The following is an 11,514-nucleotide window of genomic DNA, read 5'->3' on the forward strand; positions in this document are numbered from 1 at the left end:
CAAAGAGTTTGGGCAACTCGACTTTCCATTTCTGAGAGGTTGCCATGTGCATTGTCATGAATATTACTTTTAGTCAAGTTATATTGGCTAACAGCGGACTCTTTCCAACATGTGGAACTAATTTATTTGACATTTTTCCTCTTACCCACTTTGAAAGCCAAAACAACAACAAAAACTCAGTAACCCTTCAGAACCTTTATTGCATTTAGGGAAGTGTTTCCGTCTTGGTTTGCCTGCCTTTGTTCTCTGGGTTCATGTTTACTCACCCGCTCTCCTGGTTTTGAATGCTGTAACAGGAAATCAAGTGATCAAGACTAGAAACTCTTCTCGCTGAGATGATTGCTTTAGATTTTCCCTGCTAAATCAGAGTGCAGGCTGTCCCTTTTTCCCTGTAATTTCTTTTGAGGGATGGAGTGAACCAAAATAGGCAGCCCTTTGTAAAGGTGACACTTGTCAGCAAATTGTGACTCTCCCACATGCTTTCTTAAAATTCAGAGCTCATGTTGGTTTGTAGGGTGTTAAAGTTAAATGCCACCGGACTAAGGAATTCATAATTTGAGTTCTTTGGCAAACTTGAAGTATCCAAGTGGCTGTGAGTGTGTGTGTGTGTGTGTGCACGCCCGCACGTGCACACGCACATACGAATACTTAAAGCTGAAAGAGGAGAGGGAAGGAAAAATGGAAGGAAAGACTTGTTAATTGTTGAGAGAAGGGGAACATTTTTTAGCCTAGGGAGAAAGGATATCTTCCTGTTTTTGCTAGCTGGTTGAGTACCCAACCAAAATAAAATAATGATCTGTATAATGTAATGCTTAGGCTAGTGGATGGATACACAATGCTTATTCATGCTTTTTGTGTACAATCCACTGTGTTAAGGAATCATGGCATGGGCCAGTTGTCAAGGAATTAACAATAAGGTTAGGACCTAGAAATTCTAAAGACTGGAAGGAAATAAAGTAAAATGTAAACAATATTGGTTTTTATGGAGTAGTCAGATACAGATTTTTTTCCCTTCTTTATATATTTTCAAATGTTTTGTAATGGACATATTACTTTGATTGTAGCATAGACAGTCTTTGCTATAGAACTTTAGAAAATGGAGAAATTGCCATTGGTAGGAGGTTGTTAACAATGAGGTGTGGGGCTGGGAGCAGTGGTTTACACCTGTAATCCCAGCACTTTGGGAGGCTGAAGTGGACAGATTGCTTGAGCCCGGAAATTCGAGACCAACCTGGACAACATAGCGACACCCTGTCTCTACCAAACAAAACAAAACAAAACCAACAAAAAAAACAAAAATTAGCTAGGCGTGCTGGTACGCTCCTGTATTTCCAGCTACTCAGGAGGCTGAGGCGAGAGGATCACTGGAGCCTGGGAGGTCAAGTCTGCAATGAGATGTGATCATGCCACTGCACTCCATCCACCTGGGTGATAAGAAAACAAAAACAGAATGAGGTGGGAGTTGAGTCAGTAAATATCTAAACAGGTATTTTTGTTCCCCCCATACCTCCAACTATCATAGAACAACTATCATTAATAGAATGTTATTATAGTCTTAAAGGATTAACTATAGTAAAATAGAATAATAGTAGACTATCATAGAACAACTATCATTAATAGAATGTTATTATAGTCTTAAAGGATTAACTATAGTAAAATAGAATAATAGTAGATAACTATCATAATGGTGTGTGAAGTACATTTATAATATTTTTAGTGCGCTCTATATGAATTCATCTTCTCGTTTATGAGATAAATGAGTTATGTAAAGCACTTAGTGCCTGACAGATAGTAAGCACTATATAAGCATTAGCTATTATCATTATTTATAGCAACATTAAAACAAAATAAGGAAGTTTGTTGACCTGGGTCATGTGTACCTGGGCGTACAGTTTGATTTGCACAAGGTCGTCTATTGTGTCACTGATGCATTTTTTTTTAATTCCCAAAGTAAGCCTCTTCCTTTGCCATGGTTTTCAGTAACTAAGCATTTCCCTTTGTTATACAAACTGGAATAGCCCTGGTTTCTCGCAAGTCACTGTGCCATTCAAGACATAGTTTTTATAGTGAGCATCAAACATAAGCCTCTGAATTTATTTTCTCCTCAGAAAGCTCTTGAGGTGGTGTAGAGTCTAGTTGTAACTTTGGATGTATGTGCTTTTGTGAGTTTGACAACTCTGAAAAATGTTTGTCTTTCTCTGTTATATATTCAATTTTAAGATTTGTGGGGGAAGAAAGGAAAAATATATATTTTAGATATATATTATTTACAGGCAAGCCCTGTTACTATTTTGATCAACTTCTAGGTGTTACGTAAGTTTTCTCTATTAAACTCTATTAAAGATGATCTTTGCATAGGGGATTACAGATAAATTTAGGAGTAAGACAGGCTTTGTATTCAGACTTGACCATGTACTTACAATATTCAGCTTTATCAAATTAATCTCTCAGAACCTCAGTTCCCTCATCTGTAAAATGAGGATGTAGTTATAAAGGTCATTGTAAATATTAAATGAGACAATATGTTGCAAAGCACCTGAGTGCATTCCAGGCCCTTGGGATACATGGCAACATTATGATACATAGTACATCCACACACACATCAACACACACACACACACACACACACGCATAATTAGAATAATATTTATATATTTAAATGCTGCTTTACACATATTAACAATAAATTTTTTATATAAACATGCTTTTAATAGCTGCACAATGTTTTTGATTGGATGAAGAGTCTTTTAATTGGTTTCCTATTGTTGGATACTTAGGTTATTTTCTATTTTTCTTTTTAGTGGTAACCTTTTCCATACTCTTGGCAAACTATTTTCTTGAACCACCTGTATCCAAAATGAACAAATTCTGAGATTAAAAATTGACCAAAGGCCAGGCATGGCGGCTCATGCCTGTTATCCCAGCACTTTGGGAGGCCAAGGTGGGAAGATGGCTTGAGGCAAGAAGTTTGAGACCAATCTCAGTGACATAGCGAGATCCTATCTCTAAAAAAAAATACATATATATATATATATATATATATTTAAATTAGCCAGCAGTGGTGATGCACACGTCCTAGCTACTTGGGAGGCTGAGGCGAGAGGATCACTTGAGCCCAGGAATTCAAAGCTGCAGTGAGCTAGGATCATGCTACTGCACTCCAGCCTGGGTAGCACAGTGAGACTGTCTCTAAAATAATAATTTTAAAAGTGACCAAGATCTATAGCAACAGATTTTTGACCTCAGAATGCAGAATAATTAGCCTCATCAGAGAATGCCGTTTTTATTGGGCCTTCCATTTGTTTAATAGTATGAGGTTAAATAGTCTGGTAAAAATCAGATGAGGTCTAATCTGGACAGGAGGGTTCCCTTCAAACCTGGTAAAAGATTATTCATGGGGTATACTTAGGGAAGAATACAGTCATACACATTTTATTTCTTAAAATACTTAAATTAGGTTTTCATTAATTACCTTTTCAGTGCTTTTTTTTTTTTTTTTTTTTTTTGGTAGAAACAGGGCTTCGCCATGTCAGCCATGTGATCCACCGGCCTCGGCCTCCCAAAGGGCTAGGATTACAGGCATGAGTCACCACACCCAGCCCCATGATTTTTAAAAAAATTTGTTTAAATGACAGCATTTTGTCTTTTAGGGGTTAGTGTTGGTCAGCCTCTTGCGATAACAGTGGTGATCTATACTTTCCTCCCCTTTAACCACAATGCCTGGAATCATAGGAACAGATCCAGAGCTGAATGAAGCCATTACTGAACTGTCAGCCATATGTGCTTGCCACAGAGACCCATAAATAGCAAGAGAATAAGCTTTTGAATAAAAACTCAGTCCACATTTTCTTAGCAAATATCAGGGAGGGAGACCCAGAGAATCTCATTAGGCTTGCAAAGGTATTTATTTCTTTGCTGTGGTATTCTGCTGTAGCATTCATTTCAATATCTAGTTAAAATTTGGCAGAGTTGTTGGTGGCGTGAAGGTTGGGCCAACTGTCTGGACTGACCATCTTATTAAACACACATGTAATTGTCCTTGTTCCAGCAAAGTGGAATTCTCTTGCTATCTGTCAAGCAGGCTCAATTAATTTGGGAGATTTGGTAAGGGAGGAGATGATGGTTTGGGAGGGTGGGTCAGTGGATGGAGAGAGGGAAGGACTAAGGTGCAGCCAGTACAAGGTGGGGAAAGCAGGCTACCCATGCACACGTGCGCACAAACACACACACACACCAAGATGTTTGTCTTTTTTTTTTTTCTTCCCCTTGGAGTAGAGGTAGGGGGAACTGTATTCAACTGTTATTATGTGACTCTAATTTTTAACTTCATTTGTGTTGAACCTGCTCTTTTGGGGAGGGAGCGGGGAGGCAGTGCTTAGGGAATAAAAGAAAGGAATATGTAAAGAGATTTGATTTAATAATGTAACATACCTTTAGAACATCTAGGTTGGATGAAACTCAGTAAAGATACCCCTTTTCTTGCTGAAAATTCAGATTTGTACAGTACTGTTAGTTGGGAAGCTGGAGAACTAAGCAATATTGTATATACTTAAAGTGTGAGGGAGCAATTAAAATGTAGCCTCGGGGAAGGCTCAGGAGACCTTATCTGTGAATTGCTAGGTGACTCTTCAGTTAGCATAGCCCCAGTTTTATCTGGATTATGGATTGGGGTTTAGATTTTTCTTTGAGTTTTTATAATAGCCCAGTTACTAGAGTCTTGCCCTTCCTTTTTAAGAATGCATCAATAGTTTTAAAAATATACAAAACATTTGTGTATTTACAAAAACATTTGAGTAGAGTATATTTTAGAGAGACTACCTAGAATGTATGTTTAAAGTAAATTTATTGAAGCATAGCATACAGAAGAATGCACAAAGTGTACATCTTGATGAATTCTCACAAAAGTGAACACATCCGGTAACCAGCAACCACATCAAGAAACAGAAAATGTCAGCATCCCGGAAGCTCCTTTTATGCCCTATTCTATTCATTCTCCCACAAAGAATAACCACTATCCTGACTTTTAACAGGCTAGATTAGTTTTGCCTGGTTTTGAACTTTATGTAAATGGAATTATATACTTTGTATGCTAGTGTCTGGCATCTTTCACTCAGTATCATGTTTGTGAGATTCATCATGTTGATGCATGTTGCAATCGTTTTTCATTCTCATCACTGAATATTCTGTTATGCGAATTCACCACAGTTTAATTTTCTATTGCTGATAGGCATTTGAGTATTCTAGGTAGGTGCTACTACGAGTAGTTTTGCTGTGTGAACATTGTTGTGTACTGTACTTGTCTTTTGATGAACACACAACCATGTGTCTGCAAGGTGTATACCAAGGATTGGAATTGCTGAGTCATAAATATCCATATAATTAACTTGAGAAGATACCGCCAGTTTTCCAAGGTGCATGCATTAATGAGAGAAAGGTCAGTTTTGTCTCTAAATCAGAGTGCTTGGTTACCATGCACATAAGAATAAGACATTTTGTTCTTGTTTTCTTTTAATTACAGAAATAAATGTAACAGAAGATTCTGTGAAATGTTTCTATTTAAAATAACATTTTAAAACTCCTCACCTATTTTAATCTGTTCACTATATAATAAAATATATTTTTAGTTTTAGTATTTGATAAAGAATTTTAAAAACAAGAAAGAGTAATGGGCAGGGCTGGGCAGTATCTTTGGCTTCATTTCCAGGGATTTGCAAAGTGAGGAGAGTTAACTTCTGACTCCCTTGGGGTTGTGTTCACAGTAAGAGTTCAGATTTCTGGGATTCCTTTAGCCCTCCGGGGAGTTGGGATAAAGGAAAGTGACAACTTGGAATAGAAAGCAGAATGCTCACCCTGCCTACCCTAACCCTGTTACTGTGAGTAAATCATCCAAGAGGACTGAAGGATCAGACCTGTCATGATGGCTCTTCATTTTCTTTTCTTTTCTCTTTTTCGTTTACTTTTTTTTTTTTGAGACATGGTCTGATTCTGTTAGCCAGGCTGGAGTGCAGTAGCACAATCTTGGCTCACTGCAGCCTCTGCCTCCTGGGCTCAAGTGATCCTCCCACCTCTGCCTCCTGAGTAGCTGAACTACCCGTGGGTGCCGTCACACCCGGCTAATATTTATATTTTTTCATATAGATGAGGTTTTGCTATGTTGGCCAGGCTGGTCTTGAACTCCTAAGCTTAAGTGATCCACCTGCCTCAGCCCCCCAAAATTCTGGGATTACAGCATGAGCCACCACTCCCAGTGGCTGATCATTTTCATGTTTTAGGAAAAATTTTCCTTTCCATTTCCATTTTCCAAGTCCTCTATTAACCAGGAAAATCTTTACCCTGAAGTCACAAAAATGTTGGCTAGGTGTATCATTTTGAATTCCTGGCTCTTGCATTAAAATCAAAAGCTCCCAAAAGCCCCGTACTCTATTTCTTTTATAATTTTACGTAGCAATAGAAGTAATAAAAAATATAAAACCTTTGTCTGGGATTCTTTAATTACCCTGGACAATATATCTTGCTTAAAATAAAATGGATAGAAAAAAACCCCCAAATGCTCATTTTTTTTCCTACATGCAAGTATTAGGATTCCTAGGCTATACAGAAGAAGAAGGTGATATGAATGAATTTGTTTAATAGCTTTGCTAAATACAGTGCCTGTTTTTAACTCAAGGTCTAGATTTAGGCCTCAATGCTTTAACTTTTTACCTGGGATATATTTTCTACCTTTGGAAGTGTAGTTTTTTAGTCTGTAAAATGTGGTTTCAGACCCCTGCCCTGCCTACCACATACAGTTGTTATGAAGATCAAATGCAATAATTTATGTGAAATTGTAAAGTATAAAAGTACTAAGCCTTTGAGAGCTGGGCTTAGCAGGTCCTGCATTTTAAGAAAGACGATTACTGTCCATTGACCTAGAGCATAGTGAAAATTCACCCTGTAGTTTGAGATCTTGTGCACACACATAAGCCTGAACTTTTTTGTTGTTGTTTTGTTTGTTTTTCTGAGACAGAGTTTCGCTCTTGTTGCCCAAGCTGGAGTGCAATGGTGCTTTCTTGACTCACTGCAACCTCTGCCTCCTGGGTTCGAGCAATTCTCCTCCCTCAGCCTCCCAAGTAGCCGGGATTACAGGTGTGCACCACCATGCCTGGCTAATTTTTTGTATTTTTAATAGAAACGGGGTTTCACCATGTTAGCCGGGCTTGTCTTGAACTCCTGACCTCAGGTGATCTGCCCACCTAAGCCTCCCAAGGTGCTGGGATTACAGGCATGAGCCACCGCACCCAGCCTAAGCCTGAACTTTTAACCTTGCACCAAATGTGGCTAATTGGTTAAGTCATGAGTTACTTGTCTAAGTTCTACTGGCTTCCCATGGCATCTCACTAAAGTTCTTAAAGCTCCTCTCCATCCCACACCCCAACTACTTGAGGAAGGAGAAGGGGTAAAAAAAATGTTTTGCTTTGGTGATAGCCCCGAACTATAACCTAACACATCCCCTTTCACTTCTGGGATCGATACGGGTTTATACAAAATAAGTAGTCTATAGAATTACTACTGCTTACATTTAAAACATCTTTCTTGCTTTTAAAATTTTCTTTTGCCCACCCACATTTATTAGATATGAAGAATATAAAAATGCTTATGTCATAAAAAGATCTACTAAGATAAAAGTATTAGTAATCACTCCTGTTAAGATAATAAATGAGTAAAATAGGGACCAAAACACAGCCTCCTGAACCCTTCCGGGCATATATTCTTTATTACTACTGAGGACTTCACCTTTGTTTTAACAAAAAGGAGAAGGAAGTATCTGATTTGGCCCTTTGTGGGTGTTGGCTTGAGCAGGGTGCATCTGGAGTAGTTCATGCCTCCTTCATCAGTCAACTCTGGTGGAAGCATTTGCCAAGATAGAACAGATACTGTATCAATTGGAATATCACTGCCAGAAAGGAAATAAGAAATTGACCATGTTTATCAAGATCTGGAGTCACTATATGAATTATGTTACTTTTAATACAAATGTACTGTTGGCACTATTTAACAGCTTTTGGAAATCAAATTGTATGAGAATAGAGAATATATTCTGGGGGGCATGGGTGGTAATGACATTGACCAGGCCTCTAAGAGCATTATAATGTAGTGAACTAAGATGTCCCCCAAAGATCTGGGAGAGGTCTGTGGGTTCTTAATCCTTCTTCCAAAATGAGTATTTCAGGATTTAGAATCCTAATGCCCCCTGAATGTAAAACACCGGTAGTGGTATCTAGAGCAGAGCCCCATAATCAAATACATTGGTTGAGATCTGCATCAAAATGTATAAATAGCACACTAAGTGGTTTAACAAGGACTATACATACACATCAGTTCAAGTTAGGATTCACTGCCAAATAAGTTCAGGCTATTCCGTATTTTGCTAACAAATGTGTTATGTAAAACTTTTGATTTTCAGAGCCTTTTGAATTTTGAAATTACACATAGGGATTGTTGATCTGCATTATGTTCAGGTGTTAGCTCATGACCGCAGCATCTTTTAATGTATGTAAAGCAATCAGGTAGCAAATTCTTATAAGACAATAGAGTTAGGAGCGCCAGATCTGAAGTCATATTGCCTGGGTTCAGATTCCAGCCTTGCCAAGTGATTTGGGGGTATGTTATTTAATCTCCCAGACCCTTAGTTTTTCATCTTTAAAGCTACAGTAATTTTGAAATGAACATTAAATAAAATATACACATGAGGCACAATATCTGGATTGCCCTAGGCACTTGGTAAATATGCTTCAGTTTCCTCATCTATGTAGGGATAATAATAGTGCCTATCACAAAGGTGTTTTGTGAAAGTTAAATAAATAAATGTAATGTGCTTAGAATAGTGTCCACTCCATTGTAAGTATTCAGTAGATATTAGCCAATGATAATATCATTATGAACATTACTAGAGACCTGTAATGAACTTTCATACCAGCAGAGTCATTTTCAGAAAAGAAAATGACAGTAAACATCTGTTGAATGAATGAGTGACACATTGGAGAATGATGGGAGGCACCATGATTTGTAATAATTTTCCAGACTGTAATTTCATCCTAGTCCTTCTCAAGTTTGTTTGCTTCCCTCCATCCTGCACTCCACCCCCCGACCAAACCTCCCTCTAAGCCCCAGCAGCTTGATCTTCCTCCATTTGGTCTGTTTAGATGTACATTGCATGATGAACTTGGCTTCACTTATCTTCTGTACCACAACCATGCAGGTGTGTTAGGCCGTCTGGGAAGCTGTCCCAGATGCTGACAAACCCTTGGCAGCAGGATGGAAAGGAAGAAGGAAATTTTGGCTGACATCTCCAGGTCTGACTCCTTACTCATCTGGAGAGTTCAGTGGTATCTTTAAAGCTTGAAGATAAATGATAAGGCTGCTGCTCTTTTTATTTTTTTTATTTTTTTGCTCCTCTAGCAGATACATAACTTAGATTCTCATTTTTTAGTTTGTTATATGTTAATCTCTTGTGATTACTCAGTAACGGTACAGTTTGGTAAAGTCATAAGTCTGCAGAGACATTTTAAATAGAGGCAATGTATGGAGGAGTAGGTACCATCTAGGCAGGGACCAGTGGAAGAATGTGTGTGCTTGTGTGCTGTAGTTTGGCCTAATGTCTTGGCACAGCTGTCATATTTCCTGGCATGTAAGAACTGGATCTTCTCTTAAGTCCACACATATTTGGCAAGCCCTATTATGTTACTCTCCTGACGGGGTACTTGAGTAACGAAGGTGATAGATAATATTGGGTAGGTACTGACTGAACAGGGACATGAGAGAATATGGAAAGAATCCCTTTTAAAGATCTTTATTGCATTAGATGTTAGTGTCCGTAAACAATTACAGCATTCAGGGAGCGCAGGATTTAAATGAGAAACACAACTTGGTCAGATTATACTAGTCGGATAAAATGGCATGGACTCCAGAAATCTATAATTAAATGTATTTTTGAAAATGAAAAATATAGTGTAACACCTGGTTTATTTTGCTACAGAGGTGCCTGGGTATTGCTTACATAAGTGTGATTGACTTTGGCTGATACTTGGGTTTCTCTCTGTAAAATTACTGCATTTTAATTAAATTTTTTTTCTACTAGATTCTATTTGTTGTAAACAAATTATTCACATACACACTCATGTAGAAAATGACTTATTTAGAAAATCTCATGTTCATTTTCTTTTCATTGCAGCGGATATTCAACTCCTTTGTTTACACTGAGAAAATCTCAAATGGAGAAAGTGAAGTACAGCAGGTAAGAGGCAATGAGTACTTGACACTCCCTGTCTTTGTCTTGCTTTTAGATGTGGCTTCGTCACTCTTTCCAAGCAATCTCCACTTGAGGTTTCCTGTTCTTTCTCTCTGTATAATTTCACGTGCATCTCATGCATAATGGTGACAACCTTACACTTCAGATTCTTAGAGGCGGTTAAAAACTTATATGCATGGTTTTCTGCTATCCACGCTATAATTTGGAACTATTTAATTCCTTTTTGTTTTAAAAATTCCTAAATGACTCACACCTAAAAACACTGAAAATTATTTTATCTGATGTAGAAAATAAGTGTCCAGGCTTTGGAATCAGACAGACCCCACGTCAAATTCTGGTTTTCCTCCTTATTTTGTAGCCCCAGTAAGCAATTTAGCCTTTTTGAGCTGCAGTTTCTCAATCTTAAATAAGAGGAACATAATACTGCCTTATGGGGTTGTGAGAATTAAATGATGACAAATTGACCAAGAATGAAATAAAATTGTAATTCTGGCATAGAAGCAGCTCATTGGATGTTGGCTTCTTTTGTTCTTTTCTTTTTCTTTCCTCTTTTTTTTTTTCCTTTGCTTCTCCCCTCCCATCTTCTTTCAGTTCTCTGTGGAGTCAAGAAGTTTTGAGGTCAGATTCTATTTACTTTATTTATAGCTGGCTTCAGATGAACTGCCTCCTAAAATATAGTGTTGATGAACCTGGTCGTAAATAATTGATCTGTGCTTGAAAAGAAGGGTGGTAAATAGGAGTTGGTTTTAATTTCAGCGAATCCACCAACTTCATTACAGTATGTGACCATCAACACCATCAACTAGTAATTTGAAGCTAGGTTTGAAACTCAAGTAAAAAACAGAACCAAGCTAAAAACCAGAGTGTAGCAGACTGCTTCCACAGAATAGAAAGATAACTATAGTAAACTGCATACGATTTTGAACTCTCTGAGATTCCGCCATTATTATGTTCATGGAGAACAGCTTGACATTTGCAAGTGTCCTTATAGTAAAGTTGTTTGTAGGATACTTATTTACTTATAATAAATTACCGTGGTTTAATCTTGAAGTGCAGCATTTCCTGTTTATAGACATTGAGTTTTTAAAGATTGAGTTTCTGCAGGTTAAATATAGAGGATATAAATAGTCATGTATATGTATGTTCTTTTTCTTAGCTTTAGATATTTTTAAAAGCTGATGGCCTGAGTATTTATTTATTGTAGTAAATAGGATGTAGTTTGCTGT

At 37.7% G+C, this 11,514-nt stretch overlaps 1 protein-coding gene across 5 annotated transcripts in view, besides 1 other annotated feature; it reads left to right on the forward strand.

Moving 5' to 3' along the window:
- Positions 1-11,514, forward strand: part of CACHD1 (cache domain containing 1) — a 222,925-nt gene that overhangs the window by 70,255 nt on the left and 141,156 nt on the right. For all 5 annotated transcript variants that reach the window (NM_020925.4, XM_047426234.1, XM_047426235.1 and 2 more), the window contains exon 2: positions 10,211-10,273. In NM_020925.4, coding sequence (NP_065976.3) covers positions 10,211-10,273 — 63 coding nt within the window. The remainder of the gene's footprint in view (positions 1-10,210; positions 10,274-11,514) is intronic.
- Positions 5,584-6,085: an enhancer, noted in NCBI's record as "NANOG hESC enhancer chr1:65011650-65012151 (GRCh37/hg19 assembly coordinates)". NCBI's record gives its function as "activates a minimal SCP1, AML or CMV promoter by ChIP-STARR-seq in naive and primed H9 embryonic stem cells {active_cell/tissue: H9 hESC(naive and primed)}" and the evidence as "EXISTENCE:reporter gene assay evidence [ECO:0000049][PMID:30033119]".

This window comes from Homo sapiens, chromosome 1 (assembly GCF_000001405.40).
Source record: "Homo sapiens chromosome 1, GRCh38.p14 Primary Assembly".
Classification (NCBI taxonomy): Eukaryota; Metazoa; Chordata; class Mammalia; order Primates; family Hominidae; genus Homo; species Homo sapiens.